At 40.1% G+C, this 27,953-nt stretch overlaps 1 protein-coding gene and 1 pseudogene across 11 annotated transcripts; both read right to left on the bottom strand.

Annotated features, from left to right (window-relative positions):
• On the bottom strand, positions 1–27,902 carry FMO4 (flavin containing dimethylaniline monoxygenase 4). Of its 10 annotated transcripts, none has more exons than NM_002022.3 (10): positions 27,672–27,902; positions 25,758–25,899; positions 22,128–22,267; positions 18,893–19,081; positions 17,785–17,947; positions 10,303–10,445; positions 9,177–9,376; positions 7,322–7,674; positions 4,660–4,729; positions 1–672 (listed from the first exon to the last, which is right to left on the bottom strand). In NM_002022.3, the coding sequence occupies exons 3-10, from the start codon at positions 22,257–22,259 to the stop codon at positions 246–248; spliced, it is 1,677 nt and encodes a 558-aa protein (NP_002013.1). In that variant the 5' UTR covers positions 22,260–22,267; positions 25,758–25,899; positions 27,672–27,902; the 3' UTR covers positions 1–245. The 10 variants fall into 10 exon arrangements, with proteins under 10 accessions (NP_002013.1, XP_005245103.1, XP_005245102.1 ...); XM_011509347.3 differs by lacking the exon at positions 1–672 and adding an exon at positions 1,572–2,859; XM_005245046.4 differs by lacking the exon at positions 18,893–19,081.
• TOP1P1 (DNA topoisomerase I pseudogene 1) lies at positions 759–3,189 on the bottom strand (annotated as a pseudogene). The gene has a single exon (NR_002719.2). The product of NR_002719.2 is annotated as a DNA topoisomerase I pseudogene 1 (transcript).
• Positions 27,903–27,953: the final 51 nt, after the last annotated feature.

The following is a 27,953-nucleotide window of genomic DNA, read 5'->3' as shown; positions in this document are numbered from 1 at the left end:
TAAACCATATCATATATATTTATTTTAGAATAATCACTGAGGTAGCAGGGTAGAAGATGCATTGGAAAGGGTGGCAAGAAAGAGGGTACTGAAAACAAAGAAGAAGATAATACAATAATTCAGATAGGAGATGACTGGGCCTGAATTTGGCTAATAGCAGTTATGATGGAGAGCAGAGGAGGGATGCACAAGATACTTGGAGATAGAATTAGCATGACTTTGTGTAACCCTTGTAACAATCAGGTTCATCCTCGCCAAAGACTTACTAGGTAAGGGGACATTCTGTCCTGTAGTTTATCTCTCACCAATTTCAAGAAAAGTGAAGATTTACAGATAAGTAGAAGAGAGGCAAGTAGGACAGGTGCCCCCCAGGCTTTTAAATAATGTGACATGGAGGCAGGCTTGGAGGAATCAGGGACAATTCGAGTTTTTAAAGGTTTCAATGTTCTGTCCCACTGGGTCAGGATGGCATTTCTGGCTCCATCCCATTTTCCAGGGCCCATGAGGCGGTACTGATAAGGAGTACATGGTCCAAAGAAAACTTCCCAAGCTAGTCTGGGATCCTTGAGGAACAGAAGTGGGATGCTGGGCTTTGTGCCTATGCAGGCAGCGATATCATCCATGTAGGCAATGTAGTCAAATTTGTCTTTGCTGGTGTCTTTAAACACTCCCCTGAGAGGAAAAAAGAGGGAGGACCTTTCATTAATCACACCTGCCCTGCATTTCTCAAGTTATCAGACCCACCCATCCTCCCACCATTTTGTTACATTTTTTGGGGGAAATCAAACCATATTTGGGAATGTTTTTGTATGTTAGGAAGAAAGAAATTAAAGGAGTTTATCTACAGAGGGTATCTGTGAAGCTAATTAATTTTACTAGAGATGGTAAAAGGAGGCAATTAATTTTACTAGAGATGGAAGAGAAACTTTTTTTTTTCCGTTAAGTTGTAGGAATTTATTTTAAATAACCTACAGTTGATTAAAAGGGAATTCATGATAAAAATAGAAGATACTTGAGGAAAGATGTGGGAAATGGACTCTGCACACACACTAAACTAACAATGCCTCTAAAACTAATGATTATAGCAAAAAAGTCTTCACATTAAAGTTCTGCTTTTTATGTTTTTTTCCATTTTTTACACAATTACAAAAGAAAAAATAAAAGCCCTAAAATCTTAATTATTTTTAATTTTTTTGGACCAAATACTCATTTTCCTCTAAATTTATTGACCTGTGGAACTTTTTATACAATAAAATCTTTCAAGTGAAAGATCAGGGCTAAAAAGAAAAAGATGGATATCTTAAAGTGTACAGCGAATGCTCAGAACAAAGGATGATGGGAAAATGGTTTCAGTCACTGATTATTTCATTATCCTTAGACTCACTCGCCCTTCATCCCTCCCCAACCCCAATCTACATGATCTTTAAGATCAAGAAAAAGGTTTAAATATTTTAAAATAATTAAAAAGAAATAAAAATTCACATCTAAAAAGGAACACTCAAGTCAGGAAATATTTTCCCATCATGCTTTTCTGTGAACAGGTGTCTGAACCAAAACACTGCCAAAGCGACGACTGCTTCAAGTTTAATGAAAATTGATCCCTATGACAATAGACAGTGACGACTCTAACAGGCGCACTGGGTTTTTTGTTCTACTTAATTTTAAATTCCTGAAATGGGGGAGAGGGGAGGGAGTTTAGGAATTTATTTCTATTAAAATATAGAAGTTATTGCAAAACCCTAACTGTAAAAACACACCAACATAATCGGACTTTGCATACAGTAGCTAAGAGAATCCAAACATTTCAGTGAAACAGTGAATTTGCCTGGTAGAACGCTGACAAATTCCCATCCACTTGCCCTCTGGAAAATAAAAACAAAATTCAAAACAAATCATACAGCTAGAATTTTGATAGCTGAAATATTTTTAAATAAGTTGTCCGTAGGACAACTGGCTCAGCTGTCCCTTATAATATCTCCAGGTTTAGCTTTTTGCAAAGATGTTGGTTTGTTAAGACTTGCTGCCTCTCTCACCCAGGCACGAGGGCAAGCGAGGCTCAGTTTATCCATCTTTCCCAAACCACACTGTTCCTTTTCACAGAACCCTGCCTCTTGAGACTGGCTAAAACTCGTAGTCTTCATCAGCGATTTCAATGGCCCAGGCAAACTTTTCTCGCTGGGTTTTGTTGTAAATCTTCTCAATTGGGACACCCCACTTCTTGCACCAAGGCACAGTGATCCTAGCATCCAGATAATTGAGTTTGGAGGTTCCCAAGGCCATCTGTTTATTTTCCTCTCGGTCTGTGGCTTGAACTTCCAGCTTCATCAACTGTTCCTCCAGTCTCTGAACAGCCTTCTTCTTTGACTCTACTACCTTCTTCATCTTTGCATCTTTCATGACCTTGGCATCAGCCTTAGCACTTTTCAGGTTTCTCCGGGCATCTGCTAGCTGTTCCTTCTTGGCATCAATCTTAGTTTGCAAGTTCATCATAGACTTCTCAAAAGTTTTTGGTGGTGCCCTCTGATGGTTACAAAGAATTGCAACAGCTCGATTGGCACGGTTATAAGAAAGGATCTTCGCTGGGATGTTCTCATCCGGGGCTGTGAGTTCTTCTAGCTGCTGCTGTAGCGTGATGGAGGCATTGTATGTATGGAATACCTTGGCTGTCAAGCTCTCCATGAGATCCTGGAGATGCTTATTCAGAATACCAGTATTGAGTCTATCAAAAAGATCATCCTTGGGCTGCTTTTTCTCCATAAATAGTTGTAGGTTCTTAAAAACTCGAGAGAAACTTTAAATAATGTTTTCAGTTCTTGGATTTGATGTGAGAACAACGTCTGATCAGTCCAAATAGAACAGCTGTTGAATGAATGAACATGACCAGAAAGCATCATATGTACCTAAATTTTTTTATTGGTGTGAATTGTGAGTTGAGAAGGCCATACTTGGTGTACGTGGACTGAACTTTCCACAGATATGAGCATATTATATATTAATATGAAGGCATTATTCATACCTATTTCTGTCAGTAAACTTACTTATTTACTTATTCCTGTCAGTAAACTTCCACGATGTTCTACTTTTCATGAAGTTTACTTATTTCTGTCAGTAAACTTTCATGATGTCCCAATGTCAATCATTCATTCATTCAGTGAGTAAATAAATAAATGAACATTAAGTGTCTATCACATTCCAGGCACCATTGTAGGTGCTGGAGATCCAATAGTGAACAAAACAAAGTCCTTGCTGTCAAAAAGCCTGTATTTTAATGGGGGAAATGAATACATTATTAAAAAACCTCAACTAAGTAGATATGTAATATATCAGGTGGTAATAATGGGCACTCTGAGAAATAGAAAGGAGGGTAAGGGGAGAGGCAATGGTGAGTCAGGGTGGGTTGCTGTCACATATAGTGTTGTCAGAGAAGGCTTCTCTCTTATTAAGTGACATTTGAACAGAGTGAGTCTTTTAGGTGTCTGATGGAACATTCCAGGCTGACAGAAGAGTAGAGCGTAAAGGTTCTGAGGGGGTTATGTTTGGTATGTTTGAGGAACAGGTAGGAGGCTGGAATGCCTAAAGCAGCATGGATGAGATGGAGAGCAGTAGGCAGTGAGGGCATATCAATATTTGGGTGTGCTGTGGGCCACAGAGGCTGTAGGGAGCCTCCTGGGAGTGAAAAGGAAGCAACTGGAGGTTTTTGAGTAGAAGGGCAATGTGATGTGGCTCACTCTTGATGCTGTGACAAGCCTAGATTGTAGAACAGAGTGGAAGGAGGGAGACCAGGTAAGAGGTGGCAGCAAGTGTCCTGATGAGAGATGTTGGTGGTCTGGTCTGGGATGGTAGCAGTAGGGGCAGTGAGAAGTGTCTGAATTCTGGATTTATTTGGTAGGTAGGAGCTGACAATATTTGCCGATATGGGATGTGAGAAAAAAAGAAGAGAAAAGGATTAATCCAAGGTTTTTGACTGAACTTGGTTTTGACCAACTGGAATGAGTAGCTATGAACTGAGATGGGGAAAAGTTTCAGATCAGCCCATTTACAGGGCAGATGGGGGGCGGAGGGGGTCAAGAGTTCATTTTTAGACATATTAAATTTGAGACGCCTATTAAATATCTAAGTGGAGCTATCTAGAGGGAGGGGAATTAGGAGTCTGAAGTTCTGGAGAAAGATTTGAGTCAGAGACACAGTTTGGGAGCCCTGAGTATATGATGATATTTAAAGCCACAGGCCTGGATGAGGCCACCTGGGAGTGGGTGTAAATAGGAATGAGAAGAGGCCTGAGGACTAAGTTTGGAGCTCACTAAATTTTGGGAGTGAGGAAGAGGCGATACCAGCAAATACAGAGAAAGAGCAGCCTGAGAGGTAGGAAGAGAGTGAAGTCAGAATAGATTTCCTGGACTAAGTGAAGACAGGATTGCCACTGGTAGGGGGCCAGGCTGTGTGTTCCACTGAAAAGACCTGGTGTCCCCAGATGACTTGTCTAAGGCCACGTCTGATTGGTGGCAGAGTTAGGACTAAAAATGTATCCTTCTGATTCCTAATGCAGAGTTATTTCCAACCTGCCATACTGCTTCTCTAGGAATGGCTTTTATACTCTGAATCCTTTTTTTGTAACAGAATATACTGTAAGTTTGCCCTAGAGCAAGCTACATTTCATACCTTTTAATGAGCTGTTCCTTTTCAGTAGCCTCCATCATCAATTTTTGGGATGGAGGTATCTTACAGAGTCCTGTGGGAAAAATCACAAACAACACTAAAGTCACATGTGGCTTTTCCTTTATTTAAATTCTCCACCCACTCATTTCTAGCCTCCCACTGCTCTAACTTCAGAGCACATGATAGTCAAAGCTCAGAATGGAAATGCAGCACAGAAAATAATTTTCTGGAGGTAAAATTCCCCGCCCAGTTCACTTAACCAGGGTACTCTACTGCCAGAATTGTGAGGAGAGATGCCTCTATGGCCCAGCTGTCAGCCTGCGCCACACTCACCAGACACCTGCACCTGTGCCAGTTGGCCTGCCCTGTCTCTCTTCATCTGCTTTTGCTGTATAAATAATATAATTTATATTATATTGTATGTATACCCTCCACATTGTACGTGTGTGTGTGTGTGTGTGTGTGTGCATGTTTGTGTTAAAGCTATTAGTTGGTTAGATGTAAACACTTAAAATGACCCCATTTTAGGCTGGTCATAGTGGCTCATGCCTATAACCCCAGCACGTTGGGAGGGCAAGGTAGGAGGACAGCTTAAGTCCAAGAGTTCAAGACCAGCCTGGCAACATAGCAAGATATTCTTTCTACAAAAAATAAAAATTTAGCCAGGTGTGGTGGCATGGGCTTATAGTTCCAGCTACTCAGGAGGCTGAGGTGGGAGAATCCCTTGAGCCCAGGAGATGGAGGCTGCAGTGAGCCATGATCACGCCACTGCACTCCAGCCTGGGCAATGGAGTGAGGACTGGTCTCTAAAAAAAACCCACTTTATAACCCTGTCTTAGAACATTTTCATTTTTGTTACACAAGGAGCCTCATGTGTGGAAGGGGCCTGGCAGTTTCGCAGTCAGTCTCACCCAGGCTCTGTCTGCTTTTGTTGTGAGGACCTGCTCATTCCCAATCTCCCATCTAGACAGTCTTAGCACTTGGACTCTGCTCTTCTTGTTTTTCTGAATTCTAAACCTTATTCTCCCTTAACAGCTTGCACCCTGATAATTCTCTGCAGTTGTCCAGCTTCCCCAGAGACTAAAATCCAAGTTTGTCTTCTGGGTTCCTAGAACACCCATACTCCCTCTTATAATGTAAACTCTGTCCCCACCCCCTGCCCCTTCACTGTCCCTATCCACCTCAGGCCACTTGTGACCCTTGTTAGTCTGCCCTGTTTGCCATCCCATTCTGGCCAGTCCTGCCTTTGTCAGGTACCAAGTGCTGGCCCAGGGTGTGTGTTTACTTTCCACACGAGATAGGTCCAACTAAGCTCTGTGGACTGCTTTCCACTAGGGTCACCTTATCCTCTAAAAAACTAGCAAGATTTAATTGGTTGTTCCTAGATTGCTTTTTGGAAGTTCTCAGGAGAAGCATGCCATTACTCCTATGGTGTGAGCTAAAAGAGTTTTGTTTTGTCAGCTTTATCATTCTAATAACCATTTTGGAGCTCACCATAAAATACTTTTTAAAACCAGTAGTTAATTAAGTCTTCTGTGGTTTTAATGTAATTGGATAATGCTGTGAAAGCTCTTTAACTGACCTTAAAAAACAGAAATTTGTGGTAATTTACTGCAGGGTTGTAGGATTTTTTTCTGTAATGTAAATAAAATGAGATTTTCTAACTGCCTTCTTTCCCCTCCCCCCATTCAAATAACATTTTTTTTTGTGCCAACTTAGGAGAACGTACGGTTTTAAGTGTGATTGATGCCTATTATATTTCTACAGTTTGATAGAAGTCAACACTATTTAATACCATGTTGTATGCTATTTATAAGTTATTGGTAATTGTTTTTATTCATTAAGAACAGAATTTTTCTACAGCATAGCTGATGGGCCCAATTGCTATGGCTGTTTATATTTAAAAACAGAAAACTGCAGTTCTTTAAAACTAAAATGCTTGCTAATCTAAAATTTGCCCTGCTTTAGAGAGGTATGATAGCAATAGCAATGGTCAGAGAAACCCTGTCACTTAATACGCGTTAGTTATATGTCAAGTACTGTGCTAATTGCTTTGCAGACATTATCCTTTTTACAAAATTCTTGTCATACGGGATTTATTATCCCCATTTTACAGATGAAGGGGCTGAGATTTAGAGGGGTTCTTGCAAAGCTAAAGAATTTTGAAGTTGGGATTGGACCTCCGTAGCTCTGACTCCAGTATCTATGCTCTTATTGCATAATTGACAGAAAGTAGTTTCCAGTGTCTAAAATATTTTTTATGGGTCTCTAATCTCAACTTCATTCATAGTGTATATTATTCCAATATCTTTCTTTGGAAGCAATATAAAATTATACTTCTAGTACTAAATGAAAAGATTTAGGAGTAGATAGATTAGACTAGGCTAGAACAGGATCATGAAGCCTTCAATAATTTCAGCTAACCTGACAAATTTGATTATATTCTGTTGTCCAAATTTATCTCATCCACAGAGCCAAAATCTCTTTTCCTATTCAGTCACATTAAGTGACACAGCACACCCTCATATTACAAACATATACAATTAATTGTACACTAATGTTAAAAATATTTTGTTACTTTAGTTCACATCTGTTTGATTTTAGCTAAATGGCAGGGCACCAATTTTACGATCCAAAGAGAGGACTTTCAGTAGAGTCATGGTACCTTTGAATACTCTTGTGACCCATCGTGCTTGGAGCTCTGTGCCTGATAAGATGGATCCTTTAAGGCCGATAAGGCCGATGATGGCTAATGTCGCTCTCTCTAGGTTTAAGGGAAAGACTTGCTTGTATAGAAATATCTTCTTTGTACAGAGGCTTTTAAGAGGTTCTTCAAAAAATGGAAAAGAAAATGTATATCCTGTAGTGAAGATCACAACATCAATGTTTTCTTCCACTGTCCCATCTTCAAAGACAGCAGAGGTTTCTGTAAATTCAATCACGCTGGTTTTCATAGTGATTGCCCCACAGAGGATACAGTTTGGCAGCTCATCATTCACAATGAATTTTGCTTTTTTCCTTTGACACACAGGAGAAAATTATTCACTGTAGTTATTTTTATGAGAAACTTCAGCAAATGATTTACTTAGCCAATTCAGGGAAATTACCTGCCAAGCTAAGGAAGAGAATTAACCAATGTCTAATTCAAAGTCATCTACTTGACTTAGTATGTTTATAACATGGTTTTGTGTTTCTGTTCTCAGTAGAAGGTATATGGAAAATGACTAAACCTACTCTTTCTTGCTTGGGGTTTAAAACTCTCTATCTCTTAGAACTAATTTCTGGAGCAATGCTTTTCTCAGAGTGTCAGCATAGAGGGTACAACAATCCATTTGATGATCAATTTTGGGTCTCAAATTACTTAGGCCTCTAGGGAATGACATCAGGCAGACAGGAAATTAGCAAGGAACTCTTTAAATAAAAATTTAATACAAAAAATTAGCTGGGCATGGTGGCCTGCACCTGTAGTCCCACCTATCTGGGAGGCTGAGGCAGGAGAATCACTTGAGCCCGGGGAGGGCAGAGGTGGCAGTGAGCCAAGATCACACCCACTGCACTCCAGCTTGGGCAACAGAGTGAGACTCCATTAAAAAAAATTTATACTGATACATATTTTCAGTGTGACCATCATTCTACCTAATCACATCAAACATATTTTCTTTGTAAAATTTACATATCAAATCATCCTTTGCCAGTAGTTTTCCTCATAAGTTGAAGGACATCTCAAGGATAAAAACACAGACAAAAAAAGAAACAAAACAAAAAAAGATATCTTACCAAAGAAAAATATTTGGGTCAAGTGTATAATAAAAATCATATTTAATGACCTTACGTGCTTTTCAAAGGCTTTCTTTTACTTGCCAATGTGCAACTCTATACAGATGTATATTAAAATATATCATTTTGGCTGAGTGGAGTGGCTCATTCCTATAATCCCAGCACTTTGGGAGGCCGAGGCAGGTAGATCACTTGAGACCAGGAGTTCAAAACCAGCCTGGCCAACATGGTGAAACACTGTCTCTACTAAAAATACAAAAATTAGCTGGGCGAGGTGGCCTGTGCCTGTAGTCCTAGCTACTTGGGAGGGTAAGGCAGAAGAATAGCTTGAGCCCAGGAGGCAGAGATTGCAGTGAATAGAAATCGGACCATTGAACTCCAGCCTGGGTGACAGGAGTAAAACCCTGTCTCAACAAGAACAAAAACAACATCAACAACACAAAAAAACCCCAACAACAACAACAACAACAACAAAAATATGTGATATTTGTAACAGCAGGAAATGGAAGTTTTCATCTTTTATTTTCTTCCAGCCTCATGAATCACTACTTTTGCCACCAGAAAGAGAATACATATATTTTAAAAACTGCTGTGGTACCTGATGAACAGTGTTTTAGGGAAATGGATTTAGAGTAGAATAAACAAAGGCAATATTACAATTATTGAACATTTTGAATTCTGAATAAAATGTAATGATAAATATTGATTTAATATTTTTTCTACTAAATAAAAAATGTAAGTACCCTTTGGTAATACTTAATCCATAATCCTCATGATTAAATCTCTTATTCAACTTCCTTTCTTGAATCCAGTTTAGAAAACGTGAAGGCAGAACTTGTGCAATAAAACTACAGCATCTTCTTGTAACCATCATATTATAAGGATAGCCCCAATCTGAAGAGCGCCCAAGAACCCAGGTACCAGTTCTAGTACTGAGAAGTACCTAAAAAGTAAAGTAAGGCAAGAAGGATAAATAAATGTTCATCATTTTGTAGTATTTTTCATCAGTGTGTTTCAAATGATCTTATTCCAGTCTGGTCTTTTAACAACAGAGGATTGGTGAATTTGTACATAGGTCTACATACGATTATCTGTTCCTATTGCTGTCATTGTTCTCAAAATCACTTTACTAGATCTGTATGTCTCTTAAATATTTTACTATGTTTATAGAATTATAAATATAGAAGTATAATATTTGTAGATACATGGAATTGATCTGGCAATTTTTTACATGTAAGCAAAATAGAACTTAAAGTGAAGGTATGGAAAAGCAATTTTACCTTATTTTTAAATAAAAATATATTCTTTCCAGATCTAATCATTTTCCTTTAATTTATGCTAAAGTGCAATAGATTTCTAATTTGTGAATCTGGGCTTAGACTTTCTAAAACCATTATGTATACTTGTTGTGCAAGAGTTGCTTTCATCTCAAAACAAGGTACAGATATCACCTTTAGTAGAGAACTTAGAAACATTCAAGAAAATGACCTTTCTATTCTTACATAGGGATTTTACCAGAATGACAAAGGGAGGGTGTAAAAAAAAGATAATTGAACTGGGTGAAGCAATTTGCCTATATGGTCTTGTTTCTGAAGGAAGCACTCCTGAAAAATGCTTAGAGGTCTGGCATCCACACAATTTTCCTAGACCCTTCTTGGAGATAGTTCAGTTCTGTAAAGCATGGCTTTTTAAATAGTTCAGAAAGAACCGTGAGTGGCTTTAAAGATTTTCAATGTTTTTTTTTTTTCCCACTTACTGTGTGTCTGCATAATTTAGCAATTGGCCAATGTACTTCATAGTTTTGAATATCTCTTTCCAGCCATCATAACTGATGATGGGATTAGGGGCATTAATTCAGAGATGATGTACCTGAGCTGCCGTTCGACTGAGTTCCACAGCAATGTCTCCTCCAGTGTTCCCAAGACCAATCACCAAGACGCGTTTGCCCTGAAAGCCTTCTGGGATCTTGTACTCTTGACTATGCAGGATCTGACCTTTAAACTTATGAATTCCTGAGAGGAGTGAAGGATCAGAAAGTCTGAAATGTCTAAAGTTATAATTTCTCACTACGCAGGGATAGGGTCTGTGGAAAAAGGGAAGTCCCACAACTATGGCAGTCCTTTGCTTATGCTGCTTGTGGCAGGAAGTAGAAAAAGCATATAACCTCCCTCTCCCTGGGATGCTGTGAGCCCAGATGTGGATTTAGTACAAACTGCCTTGTTAAAAACATAGGAAATCTTGAATTCCATATGAATGTGCCCTTTTAAAGCAGTTGCTTCAGGAAATCAAACTCACAAATAATGAGACATCTTATATACTATGCTGAATATCCTGGGCAAAAAGTAGATTGTTTCTAGTTCATCTACATTAAGTATTATATCCAACTGTGGCTTCTCCCAGGACCATTACACTTGTATCTAAATACCTACTTGACATCTTCTTTTGGATACTGAATAAAGATCTTGAACAAACAAATAAAAACAGTAGGTTGTTGATGCATGTTACTTTGCCCAATAGATATATTCTATCAGAATGTGATTTGTATATATAATATGTTTACATATTAAATTTTGATTCAATTAAAATTCTCCACAGGGGAGATTCTGTGGTAAGTTCTTTCGTAAATGAAGTAATTATTCTAGTGATTTAAGTTCATGTTACTTGTACTTTATGCTTTATTATTGATGTGTTATTATGCAGTATGCTTATTTGTGTTTTATTCTTATGTTATTTACTCTTGTTTCTGATTGATCTTTCATGAAGCTCCTAATACTCTGTCCATAGAAGCACAGCTATAATGATATTTACATATGTAAGGAAGACTACAAATATTTCTTCTTTTGATTCATTTTTGGTGATTATCTCCTTGGCAGACATAAAAGACTGATGTGGTTTGGCTGTGTCCCCACCCAAATCTTGAATTGTAGCTCCTCTAATTCTCACGTGTCATGGGAGGGACCCAGTGGGAGGTAACTGAATCATGGGGGCAGGTCTTTCCCATGCTGTTCTCCTGATAGTGAATAAGTCTCACGAGATATGATGGTTTTAGGAATGGGAGTTCCCCTGGGCATGCTCTCTCTCTTGCCTGCCACCCTGTAAGACGTGACTTTGCTCTTCCTTCGCTTCTGCCAAGATTGTGAGGCCTCCTGAGCCATGTGGAACTGGGAGTCAATTAAACTTCTTTCCTTTATGAATTACCCAGTCTTGGGTGTGTCTTTATTAGCAGCATGAGAATAGACATGAACCATGGATTCACATAAACTAAGAATGGTAAGAATAGTGGAAACAGGGTGTTTACAGCAGCAGCAGCAACAATGGAAATTGTGGGAGGTGACAGAGGAAACAATTGTGATGAGGCCAGTGATGGCCAGAATCACAGATGAGATGAAGCATTGACAAAGAATCTGAAAGAGAAGCCCAGCAGTTTTGAGGACTAGACTGCCTCTCACTCCAAGGCTTCAAGTTCCTTTGAAGTGTCAATATACAAAGATTAAATTCTCTTCTAGAATATATTATTTTCCTCCTATTCAGTCATTGATTCATTCATTCACTTGGTAACATTTATTGAATAGCTACAACCTGCCTTGTTAAAAACATAAGAGATCTTATAGTGCATATCAGTGTTCTTTTTTAAAGCAGTTGCTTCAGGAAATCAAACTCACAAATAATAAGAAACATCTTATACACTACGCTGAACATCCTGGGCAAGAAGTAGATTGTATAACAAAATGTTTTAACAGGATTCTTTGCCTACTGAGGCCCCCAAAGCTGGACAGTAAACAATAGTTCCCGCAGTCCAAGTGAGGTGCTAAACCAACTATGCTGAATTTGCAGAAACTGTGTGTGTGAGGCCAGTTTTGTGATTCTGACTTAGCCTCACACTCACTTTGACAGTCTAAAATGGTTGAGGTTGAAGTGGCTAGGAGTTGGAAATTGACAGGAATTGTGGCATTTTTTTCTGTCATGTTGACATGGAGCCAGGTGTGAGGGGCTTCAAGGAGACCACTCTGAGCGAGACCTTCATGTTTGGGGTCTACAGAGCACAGCAACTGGTGCTTGTAAGGCCGTGACTGGGACTGCCTTCGAGGGATGGTGGCTGCACTGGCAGCATTTCTCCCACTGTTGACAATACAAGATCTATATTTCATGTGGACCAGAAGGCCCTGTGGAAGAGAGCCAGTCTGACACCAGCGTAAGGGAACTTTGCCCAAGGTGGCAATTTGAACACACGATGAGGCCCTAACAGATAGTCTGTGTGGCGATGACCTGGGGAGAACTGGGGGTTAGAGAGTTGTAGGTAGCCAGCCTGAGAGCATATAATCTGTAACAGAAGCTACAGTTGAGACATCCCCAGTAACAAAGCGTCTCTCTGAATCAGAACCTGGGACACCACCTGACAAAGCCAATTTTAAACACCCCCGAGATCAGAGAAAACTAGCCCAGGATTGGGGCCAGTTCAGAAAGAACTTTTCTTCTCTCTTCCCTCTTGACCTTTCCCCAACTCCAATTCTGCAAAGGTCAGAAACTGCAGCTGGTAGGTTTAGGGTTCGGAGGGAGAGGATGGCAGAGGAAGAAGGAAGTCAAGCACACTGTCTCTTCTTGACACTGCTGTCAGCTCATAGCAGGTGCCAGACGGTGGAGGGAGAAGCTTTTACATTACATACAGTTGCACATTTTGACTATTGCCTGAACAGGACATTTTAGTTATGAAAATGAGATTTTTTTTTGTTTTTGGGTGACTTATAATGATCAGAGGACATTTCATTATCTGAGAATAAGCAGAAAACTGCCTGAGATTTCATCCAGGGGCAACGGAAGGACAAGCCCCACAGATCAAGTCTGCAGGGATACTAAAGGAAAAAGTTGGCTAATAGTCGTATCTTATATAGCCTGTTCTTTCAACACTTTCAACACCACCCAAGGTACTATGCTAGGTCTAAGGTCTAAGGAATGTGAGGACAAAAGGCAGTTCCCACCCTCAAAGAACTTTTTTTTTTTTTTTGAGACAGGGTCTTGCTCTGTCACCCAGGCTGGAGTGCAATGGCGTGATCTTGGCTCACTGCAACCTCCGCCTCCCAGGTTCAAGTAATTCTCCTGCCTCAGCCTCCTGAGTAGCTGGGATTACAGGTGCGTGCCACCATGCCCGGATAATTTTTGTATTTTTAGCAGAGACAGTGTTTCGCATGTTGTCCAGGCTGGTCTCAAACTCCTGGCCTCAAGTGATCTGCCCGCGTCAGCCTCCCAAAGTGCTGGGATTATAGGTGTGAGCCACCGCGCCCGACCCATATCCTCAAAGAATTTGTCCTCTTGGCTGGGTGCGGTGGCTCACACCTGTAATTCCAGCACTTTAGGAGGCCAAGGTGGGTGGATTGCCTGAGGTCAGGAGTTCGAGACCAGCCTGGCCAACATGGCGAAACCTCATCTCTATTAAAAATACAAAAAAATTATCTGGGTGTGGTGGTGGGCACCTGTAATCCCAGCTACTCAGGAGGCTGAGACAGGAGAATTGCTTGAACCTGGGAGGTGGAGGTCGCAGCAAGCTGAGATCATGCCATCGAACTCCAGCCTGGGGAACAAGAGCAAAACTCTGTCTCAAAATAAATAAATAAATAAAGACTTTGTCCTCTAATGGGGATGTAAGTAAGTAAACAGAAAATAGCTAACAATTATTTAGCCCTTGCTATGCTAGTCCCAGGCTTCTAAGAACTTTATACATATTAACAAATTTACTTATTTACTGAGAAAGAATTTAGCTCTGTTACCCAGGCTGGAGTGCAGTGGCACCATCAGAGCTCACTGTAACTGCCTCCCAGGCTCAAGTGATCCTCCCGCCTCAGCCGCCCGAGTAGCTGGGACTACATGTACATGCCACCATGCCTGGCTAATTTTTTGTATTTTTAGTAGAGACAGGGTTTCACCATATTGCCCAGGCTGTTCTCGAACTCTTGAGTTTAAAAGATCTGCCTGCCTCGGCCTCCCAAAGTGCTGGGATTATAGGCATGAGCCACCACACCTTGTCTGTATTAACGAATTTAAACCTCACAGCACCCCCATAGAGTGGACCATAGTATTATTCAATTTTGTCAAAGCTGAGATTGAGACAAAAAAAAAATCCCTGGGCAAATGGCTTAACCTCCCTGTTTGTTTTTGTTTTGCACTGCTGAGATTGCAGTGCAAAAAAACAAAAACCAACCAACCAAACAAACAAAACAGGGAGGTTAAGCAACTTGCCCAGAACCATACAGTAAGTAGCAGAGCCTGTATGGGAACTCAAGATGTCTGACTCTGGAGCTCAGCTGTCAGGCATGATACTATACTCCCTCCCAGAAGAGAAGGCATTAAGATGGGTCCAATGGGACGTCCAGCCTGGACTGAGCCAGTGAAGGCATTTGAAGGGGATTTTCTTAAATTAAGAATTTGTTAAAGGATGATTAGAAATTGGAAAAGGGGAGCACGAAGAAGTTTCCAAGAAGTGGGAACAGAATATGCATCAAACGCATTAGAGAGTGGGACTTTCAGCCACTTATGAGGTTTTCCTGGAGGGAATTTACTGGAGGGCTCAACTTTGCTCATGGATTTTATATCTTTCATATTGCCTCACACAATGACTTGCAAATGACAGATTCTCCGTAATTACATATTGAAGAAGAAAAAATAGAGAATGTGTAGATAGTTCTGAGTCAATGATTATGTCAATGCAGTGCCAAAAAGTAAAAAAGAAATATATTTGATAAATTAAAACTACTAATTCAGGAAAACAGCAGAAGTCAATTTATATTGGAAAGAAAAGAAACTTTATCTGAGGAATGCAAGTCCCCTTTAAGTTATCACGCCCAGAGAGGCATTGAAATCTAACAGCAGTCACATGTCACTCTCCATGATAAGTTAAATAATTGCCTCTTGAAGACACTTGCTATTTGGGCTCTAGACTTACTGACATTAAGTAGCCATAAATTACCCTGACAATGCTATATGCTGGATGTCATAACTCATAGCCTATAGTTAAACAATGTACAGCCAATGACTAATCAATGCTATTTCTATAAATTAATGAGAGTTCCTGTCAAACAACTTTGTATCTGTGCACTCCTTGTTCCCTGTTCCCTTCAGAAACCTGCTTGTAACAAAGGCTGAACAGAGCACTTCCCAAAGCAACTTGGAAATGTTTCCCAAGCAGCTATCCTCAAGGTAACTCTTTAAAATTGTATTTTGACTCAAGTAAATTCTTTGAAATCACATTTTATGCCTCAGCTTCTTCCATTAGGTTGACAATATAGATTTTTAAAAAGGGTATGCATGTGTTGCAATGTCAACTTTCAAACAGTTGTGGCGACATGTTATAGACAAAGCTTGTGATTTCTATGGATTTTTTTCAATAGTGTAGAAATAATCCTGGTACTTTCTATGCAGAGAAGAGTTCATGTTCCCAAGTAAAACATTCATTTCAACAGGGGTCCTACAGCTATTCGTGAAAGATATTGTGGTGGTTAGTTAAAAGCAGAAACAGAATCTTAAAAAGTCATAGTTCTGTAATCTCAGTATTTGGAAGGCCAAAGCAGGTGGATCCCTTGAGCCCAGGAGTTTGAAACCAGACTGGGCAACATGGCAAGTCACCGTCTCTGCAAAAAATACAAAAATGAGCCAGGTGTGGTGACACACACCTGTAGTCCCAACTATTCTGGAGGCTGAGGCAGGAAGATTGCTTCAGCCCAGGAGGTTGAGGCTGCAGTGAGCCTAGATGGCACCACTGCACTCCAGCTCAGGCAACAGAGTGAGACCCTGTCTCAAAAAAAAAAAAAAAAAAAAAAAAAAAAAAAAAAAAAAAAAAAAAAAAGGATAGTCTATGTGGAACTGAATTTAGTGTGGAATAAAGGGTAAACAATCCCAAACTTGAAGAGAATAAATTCCGAAAGCATCCATGTCAATAGTTTGGCACTTACAGCACATTTTCCTATAGAAAATGTCATAAGAGGTGTTTTTATATTCCTTTAGTACTGTACAGTTGTGTGTTTAGCCCCCAGATCAACAGCAAGCCTGAAGCCAACCACCATTTATAATATTGTTTCCTTGCAAAATTATGTATTGAATTTTCACTTCATTCCTTTTTGAGTAGGATATTTTGTCAATTTGTGATTACATTTATAAGAAGTATTTTCCTTCATTTTGCCAACGTTTGCATGTTTTATTCTTCAAGGTTTTCCTTCCTTAAAAGTTCTTTTAATTCCTTGAAGATACTTCAAAAACTCACCTATTCAATTGCCTTTAGGGCCACTAATATGTAACAAAAGAGTAGCTTTATTACATTTTAGTAATCCTCAATTGATTAATTTTATTTCCCTCAACTGAATTTGAATAGCTTTTGGCTTCTCAAATAATCAGTTTTGACCTCAAAATGATGGCAATTTGTCAGTCATGAGTATATTAAAAAGAATATGTTGTCACAGTGAAAAGCATTTCCAAATGGAAGTTTCTAAAACTCCTTTCTATGGATAGCCCTGGTTTAAGAGTTGTATGATTATTTATTTATTTGTTCATTTATTTTTGAGACAGAGTCTCACTCTGTGGCCCCGGCTGAAGTTCAGTGACGTGATCTTTGCTCACTGCAACCGCCACTCCCCCAGGTTCAAGCAATTCTTGTGCCTCAGCCTGCTGAGTAGCTGGGATTACAGGCATGAGCCATCATGCCCAGATAATTTTTGTATTTTTAGTAAAGACAGGGTTTCAGCATGATGCCCAGGCTGGTCTCCTACTTCTGGCCTCCCTCGGCCTCCCAAAGTACTGGGATTACAGGTATGAACCGCTATGCCCAGCCAAAGAATTGTATGATTATTATGTTGACTGTTTTGAAGGGTGACTATATTGCTTTTTTTTCCCTTTTAAAGTTTTATTTGTCCAAGAACCTCCAACTCTAGAGAAGGTTGAATATATTGCTTTACATGTTTAATTTCTGGTTTGTTTCTTTAAAAAAAAATCATATACTCTCACTTCCTGTAAGTTCTATTACAGGCCAGTCCTGATTCAAATTACCTGTAATTTAATCCCTAAAATCAAAGCCTGTTCTTTTTCATGACAGATCTGATTGTTTTGAACCTTATGTGATCACTGAATTTGAATTAGACACACATTAGAAAGCTTAAGCAATAACAATAATATTTATATTAATAAATAAATAAGACCTGACACCTACATAGTGCGTTATACAACTTTTAAAGTAATTTTGCACATATTATTTTTGAGAATGAATATAAAGCCATCTATAATCATGGGGCGGTATTTCCAACTGCAAATCAATAAGTTTACTTCTAGAAGAACCCAGAAGCATAGGCATGGTCTCAGGTAGAAATGACTCACCAGGAAAGGCTTCCAAAGGTAAATGGGGATTCAGGAAATGTCCAGTGCAAACCATAACAGCATCAAAGACAGCTCTATTTTGCTTGCCCTCTGTCTCTGTGACAACATCCCACTGACCAGTTTCGGAGAAGTCTGGACGCTTCGTTATGCTGCACACAGTGGTCTAAAAGTGAAAGACAAACACTCACTTCTCACTAACACCCTTGGACCTCATGCAATGACTGGTGTGGTAACCATGTCTGTTACTTTTAGTAGGCCAAGTCCCATGACAGGAGGTCTATTAATATTGATTTATCATCTTCCTAGAGAAGTTAAGTAACTTATGCAAACTCACAAAGGTGGCAATATAGACTTTAACTCAAGACATTTGAATCTTTCAGTGGAAGGAAGAAACAATCACGTTTTATTCCTGGTGAGAAAGAGATGAGTTACAATGCCCAATGTTTTGGGAAATTTAGGAAAATTAGTTTTGCCTTATTGTAATTTCTGTGGTTCAGACATCTAGATTTTTTTTCCCCAATGGGCTTCATGGACAAAATTCTTTTTTTCTCTCTTAAAAAAAGTCAAAATTTCATCCTGAATGAGAGTTTGGCATTTAGAGGAGGAATCAGCAAATTCAGCATTTTATTTTATTTTTGAGATGGAGTCTCACTCTGTGGCCCAGGCTAGAGTGCAGTGGCATGATCTTGGCTCACTGCAACCTCTGCCTCCCAGGTTCAAGCAATTCTCATGCTTCAGCCTCCTGAGAAGCTGGAATCACAGGTGTGCACCACCACACCCAGCTAATTTTTGTATTTTTAGTAAAGGTGGAATTTCACCATGTTGGCCATACTGGTCTCAAACTCCTGACCTCAAGTGATCTGCCTGCCTCGGCCTTCCAAAGTATTGCGATTACAGGTGTGAGCCACTGCACCCGTCCCCAATTCAGTATTTTAACGATTTATTCGAGTAAAACTTGAGCAGCAGCGGAAGTGAGGAGTCCTTATTATCTTCCTATTTATTTGGAGATAAAATCAATAAAAAGTTTACTTTAAACATCCAATTTTCATTAGATTGCTGAATAGGCCAGCCCCCATCTATTCATCTTCCATAACCCAAAGTATCTTACCTTAAACTGAATGTATTTCAGGAGGTCAAAGTGCTCAGCAAATTCTTGGAGATAGTCCCAAAATTTTTCATGGTTCATGAAATTAGGATAATCTTCGTGGAAAGGGAAGTCACTGTAACATGACATTTCCTTACAGACATTTGTCACTAATGACTTATAGACCCTGGTCATCCCATCTTTGGAAGATTCCTGTGGTGAAGGCATAGTTAGCTTGTTGGGATAATGGAGATAGGAGGAAGAGAACAGAGATCATGGTGGCTCATGCTAGCCTCACTGAGGGCGGGTTATAGCAATTAATGTTCCATTTGTAATTTTATTTACTTTTATTGATTGATTGATTTAGATGGAGTCTCACTCTATCACCCAGGCTAGAGTGCAGTGGTGCGATTTTGACTCACTGCAAACTCTGCCTCCCGGGTTCAAGCGATTCTCATGCCTCAGCCTCCCAAATAGTTTGGATTACATGTGTGTGCCACCATGCCTGGCTAATTTTTTTATTTTTAGTAGAGATGGGATTTCACCATGTTGGCCAGGCTGGTGTCTAACTCCTGGCGTCAAGTGATCCACCCGCCTTGGCCTCTTAAAGTGCCTGGATTACAGGCATGAGCCACTGCACCCAGCCACTATTTGTAATTTTAAAGAGTTCCAGGAAACCCAGCATTAGGTCTCTAAGCTATAATTATCAGAAATCATTGGTGGGATTGTATAATTAAAATCAATATATTTTTCAAACCACAAAGAAGCTAACCAAATTAAATAGGGCTCTCCAAGACTAACATTGTCCTTAAACAATTCCATGAATGCAGGGCTTATTATCTGTCTTGTTTATCTTTTCCTTCTTTCATTGGCATGGCTACTCCCTCCACTCATGCCCTGGACATGTTCCTTTTTGCCTTTCCTCAGGGAATACCTTACTAATTTTTCTCATTATTGTCTCCGTATATTCCCAATCTACCTTCCTTTATTGGCTCCTTCTCATCAGCACAAAATACTCTAATTTTAAAAACAAAACAAAACATCCTCTCAACCTATGTCCCCTTCAGCCCTGTCTCTCTCCATCCTATCTCAATCTTCATAGAAGAATCATTTACTGCAGCCTCTGTTTTTTCATGAAGTCCTCAACTTATCTTGATTCAATCTCCATCACTCAAAAACAAAACAACAAAACAAATAGGTCTATATTAAAGACACCAATGAACTTCTTGTGGCTGAAGCTAATCTCTGTTTCTCCCTTAAGCCTCTTTCTTAGCTGTCACTTTCTCTAAGAAGTCATCCATGACCCAACAGCGCTGCATAAGGTAGCTGATGCGGCCCTGCTGCATCCTGTACTTCTACCACGAACTTGATGACACTGTGTTATAATTCCCTATTTACTGTTTCTGTTTCCCACCGGACTACAAGGAGGGCAGAGCCCCTGTCTACCTTGTTTATCATTGTGTCCTGGCAGAAGGACATGATAAGTACTTGTTGAATGAGTGAAAATTAATATTATGATAACATTTTTGAAAAAAAAAATAGTACAGCTGGCCCTCTGTATCTGTAGGTTCTAGATCCATGGATTCAATCAACCAAGGATGGAAAATATTTGGGAAAAATAAAGGATGCTTCCATATGTATTGAACGTGTACATATTTCTTTCCTCGTGATTATTCCCTAAACATTACAGTGTAACAGCTATTTATATAGCATTTATATTGTATTAGGCATTATAAGTAATCTAGAGAACATTTAAAATATTCAGGAGGATGTGTGTAGGCTACATGCAAATATTATGCCATTTTCTATTAGGAACTTGAGCATTTGTGAATTTTGGTATCCACAGCAAAACCAAAGGGATACCTAAACCCCCACGGACACCAAGAGACAACTGTATATATATGACTGAGAGAAATTACATTGAAATGTTAATAGTACTAATTTGTGAGTATTGTTACTTACTTAATTTATATTTTTCTTTTTTTTCCCTATTTGTTTACCTCAAGATTGTTTTCTAAACTTAATCTGTATTACTTTAGAATAGAAGAAGTAAACCAAACCAACTGTGGGGTCAAATAGCAGAAGCTACATAAACCAGACCCAATATTTTCCTTCCACATTAACATTTGGTGGCTTGATGAGGTTAACAATATACCATTTTTTTTTTCTCCTAGTATACTATAATCCTAGGGTTATGGTTACTCCTGCTTATATGTAGTTGCTTATTCTGTTTTATTCATCATCCATCAGAGATCTATTAATAGCAAACAACATGTCTTCTATGAAGGCTTCTCTCTCACGCCTGTTGAACGAATGCCACTCTTCTTTTCCCCTATAGCATTTAGTACTTGGGCCTGCCTAGCTTCCATCTTATTTTTTTTGTTTGTTTTTCATTTTATTTTTTGTAGAGATAGGGTCTCACTATGCCGCCCATGCTGGTCTTGAGCTCCTGGCCTCAAGTGATCCTCCCACCTCAGCCTCCCAAAGTGCTGGGATTACAGGCATAAACCTTCTGATACCTCCTTATACTTCACTACTGGGGCAGATCCCTCAGTCCCTACTGGATACCCTGCTACTTCCAGTAACCAGCACCAATCCTGACCAGAGGCAGGTGGTATTTAACCACTTCCATCCCCACTGTCTGATGCTCAAGTCACCTAACAGGTGGCCTGGACCTGAGTGTAGCCTCCGAGGCTAAATATTCCACTTCAAAGAATGATTGGTTAGTGCCTGAGTTCTTTGTATTCTGAAAATGTGACAGGGAACCCTCCCCCTCCCACAAGGCCTTCCAAGATCTGGGGCCATGCCTCACTCTTGCCAGTTCTGTTCCTAAAGACCTGAACAATGTCTGGGGGTTGTGGTTCCACTCCCTGTTGCCAACTTCCATTCTCCCTAGAGTGTAATCTGTTTTATGTTCACCAATGCTATTCAGTTTGCCTGATGTTACACTCTGCTGCTTTGTCTTAGAATGTCCATGGTCCAGAAATCATCATAAATGTCCAATACTATGCTTATTTATCAGAGTTAACTCTTTTTTCCTCTCTCTTCCAACTGTCCCTGACCCGAGTCTGCGCATTCTCAAGATTCCTCACCAATCAGACTGCATCCTGCCTAATGTTTAACACTGCATTATGCACTTGTTTGTGCCGTTGCAGTAAGCCACTCCCTTACTTGATCACCAAGGCAGGCTAAAGCCACCATGTCTGAGCAGAGACAAAGCAAATGGCCAGATCATGACTGATAGAGATGAACCACGTACAGTAAACTTCCATAATCCCCCAATGTCATCACTTCTCTCAAAGCAGGTGGGCTCCAGGTCCTCATCCACACAGCATTTGATGGAGGAGAGGCCACTCACACCAGCTCCAATCACTGCAACTTTCTTGGCCATGGTATGCTCTGTTAGAGGAAAGTCAAGCAGAACTTCTTTATTTAATAAGTTTGGAAGGGAGCCCTTGTCAAAAGACTCAATTTTTGTAGTGCTATATATGCCTTTTTTTCATCTTTGAGTGGGGGCAGAATCACATGCTGCTTAAAAATCCAGGCTCTGAAATCAGATTGTTTTGGTTTAAGTCTTGGCTTCACTACTTATTAACTGTGTGATCTTGGGCTAACTATCCTGTCTAGGACTCAGTTTTCTCACCTGTAAAATGTGAATGGTAATAATAGTGATACTAACAGGAGGCAAGGAAATACTGAGTAGGAGAGAGCAGTTCCCTGGCAAACGCCCCACCCTCAAGCCTGGAAACCTACAGCCCTAAATGAGAACAGGCATTCCTGTTTTTGCACCCCAATGTTGCCTTTTCCAAGACCACTCTGGCCCACCATGCCCTATCCCATGCCCATATAAACCCCAAGCTCCAGTGGCAGAGCAGAGCAGTGTGGCAGAGAAGGAGAGAAGAGAAGGAGTGTTTGAATATCAAGAGGAGTTCAGCTGGGGATGGTTGGAAAGATCGGCCCAGGATGGCCAAACTCCAGGGGAAGATCATCTTCCCACTCCATCCCCTTTCCAGCTCCCCAGCAAGCCCACTGAGATCCACCTCCACCACTCAATAAAATACCCGCATTCACCATCCTTCAAGTCCATGTGACCTGATTCTTCCTGGACTTTGGACAAGGACCTGGGTACCAAAAGGGCAGGGTGTAAAAGACTGTCACCTGAATCTCCACTGAACTAGTAATACTTAGCTGTCTGTAAATAGCAACTGCTAAAAGAGCATTAATTTTATGACACCTCTAGATCCTACTGTGGGGCCAGAGCCCAAAAGCACTAGCCCTGGCTCCTGCACCTGCCTGTCTGCATGCTCCCCTTCCCATAAGGGGTTTGAACATGCAAACAAGCCACACCCCTGTAGCAAGTTCTGCGGGGGCTCAGGGAACTCTTCCGTTTTAATAGTAATAATAATAATGACTTTAAAGGGTTGTTATGAAGATTAAATGACTGATAAATGTTGGAATGGTTTTAGAAGTGTGCCTGCTACATAGTAAGTGCTCAACTAAATTTAGCTATTACCGGTTGAGCAGCCCAAACCCCCAAATCCAAAATTTGAAATACTCCAAAATCCAAAACTTTTTGAATACTGACATGAAATTCAAAAGAAATGCTCACTAGAGTATTTCAGATTTTAGATTTGGGATGTTCAACCAGGAAGTAAAATGAAAATATTCCAAAATCTGAAAAGACTTGAAATGTGAAACATTTATTTTTTATTTATTTTAATTTTTTTAAATAGAAATGGGGTCTCACCATATTGCCCAGGCTGTTCTTGAACTCCTGGGCTCAGGTGATCCTCCTGCCTTGGCCTCCCAAAGTGCTAGTATTACAGGAGTGAGCCACCATGTTCATCCTAGTGAAACATTTCTCATCCCAACTATTATTATTATTATTATTATTATTATTTTGAGACAGTCTTGCTCTGTCACCCAGGCTGGAGTGCAGTGGCACAATCTCAGCTCACTGCAACCTCCACTTCCTAGGTTCAAGTGATTCTTATGCCTCAGCCTCCCAAGTAGCTGGGATTACAGGTGCCTGTCACCACGCCCAGCTAATTTTTGTATTTTTTAGTAGACATGGGGTTTCACCATGTTGGCCAGGCTGGTCTCAAACTCCTGACCTCAAGTGATCTGCTGGCCTCAGCCTCCCAAAGTGCTGGGATTACAGACGTAAGCCACCGTGCCCGGCCTGGTCCCAAGTATTTTGGATAAGGAGTACTCAATCTGTGGTATTACTATTAGAGAGTGTAGACAGTACCTTGACCCCGTTGGGATGCTAGAATTTGTCAGTATTAAAGGGGCTCTTTGCTATCACTTTGCCTCTGAATCCTAGGAATTTCAGTCAGTAGAAATGTTGGTTTTGATTCAAAGCATTTAGAGTCCTAAAGAATAGCTGGTCACGGTCATGCCTTGCCATAAAACAAGGATATTACATGGGTTGAGGGGAGGTTCTTAGCTTGCAGAGGCAAGACTGACCATAATAGAAAATAAAGTCCCCAAGGAACGTCATAAGGGATATTCTAGAGCCCACGATGATGTCAGCTAGAAATGGGGATGCTCATGCTTGTCAGCGGGAACTGGAGGAAGTATACACATACACACACATGGAGATATAGGACCAGTTTTTACCAGTTTTTCTGGATTTTATCATTTCTGCACATATCACATTGCTTTTGCCTCAATCAAATGGGCTGAGTTAATTCTAGTAAATCAAGTTTATGTCACACTGAGGCCCTTAATATGTCATGTAGACTTAGTTGCAAGTGCTGCTTTTCCCTGCATTTCCCTGCAACCCACTTGGCCAATTCAGAAGACACACAAATGATAGTTGAGACCTCAAAGTATTCCATTGTTTTATGAAATATATATAACTCATTTCACTTTGCCTTTGAAGATACAGCATTTTTTGAGGAAAGATCAAGCTGTATAACCCCTGTGTGATTTTTGTAGTCTCATGTCACTTATCACAGTGGTATTTGCCTTGGGGAAACAAGAGAGCATATATTTTTTGAGCTATTAGGACCAGTAAATGGGAAATCAGCATAATCATTTGAAACAACTTAAGACTACACTGCTATTAAGAGGCAGAGTTTGCACTGAGTATGGATTTCAGGATCTGAAACCAAGATGTGAACATGCTGTTGGTCTGAGAGCCTGAGGTATCCTGTGGTTCCCGTCACTAAGCCTCTTCCTTCATCTTTGCTCAGGTTTGCTGCTGCACCTTTGGGATGGGCTTGGAGTTTTTCTCTATGGCTCTGTAGCTTGTCTCTTAATCAGATCAGAAGCCCCAGGCACAAAATCTAAGAGAATTTACTGACTGGAGGGAGTAAAGAAAGACTCCTGAGTCCTCCAGGAACCCTTAGACTTACCTGACCCTAAGGCAGATTCATGAACTTGCAATGAGGATCAGAAGGATTTCCTAGGGCTGCCAATTTCTGAATGTATTTGCTGCCTTGCCTTTGTAAGGCTGAGATTGCCATACCTGGCTTCATTATGTATTAAAAAATGCATCATTTTTCCTCTTAGACTTTTTATTTGGGAGTCCCTATTTAGTTGAGAGAGCTATATGGAATGCAATGAAAATGGATTTTGGAGGCAGCAGAGTTGGGTTTGAACTTTCTCTGCTACCAACTAGCCATATGACCCTGAGCAACCGACTGAAGCAACCTTAGATATATTATTTGTAAAATAATAAAAATATCTATGTTGAAGGATTGTTTGCATTTTAAAAAACTTGATATTACTTACACAAAAAAGTGCCTTGCACAAAATATTTACTCAGTGTTCATTCTCTACCTCCCTACTTGTCTCCTGTCTTCCTTCTCTTCTCCTTGGAAAAGACAGTTCATACAGATAAAATGTATCAACAAGTTTGGAAAGGAGTAGGCAGACATACCTGTGTTTTCCTTTGAGTTGAGGAGTAGGAGGTTTAGACAGCTTCTAATCAGAAACAAATGGCCTCCACCAATAAGAATACTTGAATTTCCAGGCCACTAGGTAGAGGCCTGGGGCTGGCAGATCTTTGCTGTGCTCTATCTCTGCAATCATAAGGTAAAAAGAAATGACTGCTAACTGAATTGCCAAAGTGAAAAATATACTGACGTGAATAGACTGGAAGCAAATTAATTCATTCAACAAATATGCCCTGGGTACCTCTAAGTGCAGGTCCTAAGCTAAGTATGGGGCCCTGAAGATAATGAAGACCCTGCAACTAAGAAATAGTAGTAAAGTCTTAGAATTTAAAAAAGACCGTGACTGCTCTTAAGATGTTGTATATGGAGAGGCTGATACTACCTTGTGCTAAGTCCTATGGTAGCAGCATGCTCTAGGCATGAATGCTTGCACTCTCCTGGCCTGTTTATTATCCCTGTCTAGAGACCTAGTTAGTGACACAGAGTGGCCTGTGGGGTTAAAAACGTGCTGGGCAAAAGCACTTTAAGGACTGACTTAGAGACTCTACAGGCAGTAGAAACAAATTGGGAATTAGCACCTTTTAAAATTAATCCGTATTTACAGACTATAAATTTCTGAATGGGAGCAACCTTTTTAAATTTTGCCTTGAGTCAGTAGAGGAAGGTAGTGAGTGAACTGGAAATTGAGAGATCTGAGTTCTAGTTCTGCTTCTGCCTCTAAGCAGCTTGTAACCCTGGACACAATTCTCAATTTCTCTGAGCCAGTGCTTCCACATTTGTAAAACAGAGGGTTCAAGTGGCTTTCTCTTTGTTTCCTTCAAGCTTGAAAGGACTGTTCTTATGTCTGAAAACCAAGTAATTGGTGCACAAAAAAAAAAAGATATGAATTCAAAGGTAGGCGAGAATACTGCAGGCTTGAAGGATTGGGAGAACGTGTGTGCAAACTCTGCAAACTATAAAGTGGACTTCATAAGGTACTTGGTTGCTCAAAGGTGCTTATATTTATTTATTTATTTATTTGAGTTGGAGTCTCACTCTGTCTTCCAGGCTGGAATGCAGTGGCACAATTTCGGCTCACTGCAACCTCCACCTCCTGGGTTCAAGTGATTCTCCTGCCTCAGCCTCCTGAGTAGCTGAGACTACAGGCAGGCGGCACCACGCCTGGATAATTTTTGTATTTTTAGTAGAGACGGGGTTTCACCATGTTGGTCAGGCTGGTCTCAAACTCCTGATCTCAAGTGGTCTGCCCTCCTCGGCTTTCCAAAGTGCTGGGATTACAGGCGTGAGCCACCGTGCCAGCCATAGGTTGCTTATATTTAGTCCCTTGGCAGAAAGGAGACCTGACCTATTGAACTAGACCTTTGTACAACGGGAAAACCCCACCCTATACCTGACTGACCAGCAAATGTAGGAATCCTTTATGAGACATGGAGAGACTTGGGTGATTTGCAAATCATGTAATCAATTATGATTTCTTTGAATTTGAAATTTGATCATTTTATGTTTCTTATCATCATCCTACCATGCTCTTGCTTTGTTACAGTATTTTTTTCCCACGCCATCTATGGGGTATTTGTTTCCCAATGGCTGGCATTTCCATCTCATTCATAAGATGAAATCAGAGGTCACTGGAGTCACTGAAAGTCTCATGATTCTGTTTATCTCACTGACACTTTCCTTTTGGATGGTTCTGTCCACAACATAACTTTGTTTCCTTACAACTTCCCTTTGCTTCCTGACTCTCTCCTTAATTCTCTTGCTTTAGCCCTAGTCAAGAGACCCCAAAAGAAGATAATCACATTCATTCTTAAGGAACACACTCCAAGAAAAACATTCATCTTTTGTGAAAGCAGTTTCTGGATCATTTCCCCATTAAAAAAAAAATCCAGGACACTTACCTTGGTTAGCATAGAGCAGATTCTTTGACTTAAATTATTTCTCAAAGTCAAGGAAAGTGTTTGTCTTTTTTTTTTAAAAAAGCTCAAAACCCAAATTCTTTTTTCTGAAAGAAAAATAAATGGAAAGATGACTTTTGTAAAAGTGCCCTCAGTTTAAAACAAAAGCCATTCGTCTTTTCTGTTATGCTAGTGACAGCAGAAAGTATACAGACTAAGGAAAAAAAGTTGTGTAAGAGGCAAGCGTGATACTTCCGTGATCTTAAGGGAGGGCGGAATGGTGAG

Source organism: Homo sapiens, chromosome 1 (assembly GCF_000001405.40).
Source record: "Homo sapiens chromosome 1, GRCh38.p14 Primary Assembly".
Taxonomy (NCBI): Eukaryota; Metazoa; Chordata; class Mammalia; order Primates; family Hominidae; genus Homo; species Homo sapiens.
This window is presented reverse-complemented; position numbering and strand designations above follow the sequence as displayed.

What these genes read in the sequence shown, in the direction of transcription:
- FMO4 (NM_002022.3), bottom strand. Translation starts at nt 22,259, where the DNA reads ATGGCCAAGAAAGTTGCAGTGATTGGAGCTGGTGTGAGTGGCCTCTCC. An exon ending in TGAAATACATTCAGTTTAAG is followed by an intron (nt 17,948 to 18,892) that starts GTAAGATACTTT and finishes TTTCACTTTTAG; the next exon opens with ACCACTGTGTGCAGCATAAC. An exon ending in GGTCACAAGAGTATTCAAAG is followed by an intron (nt 4,730 to 7,321) that starts GTACCATGACTC and finishes TTTTTCCCACAG; the next exon opens with GACTCTGTAAGATACCTCCA.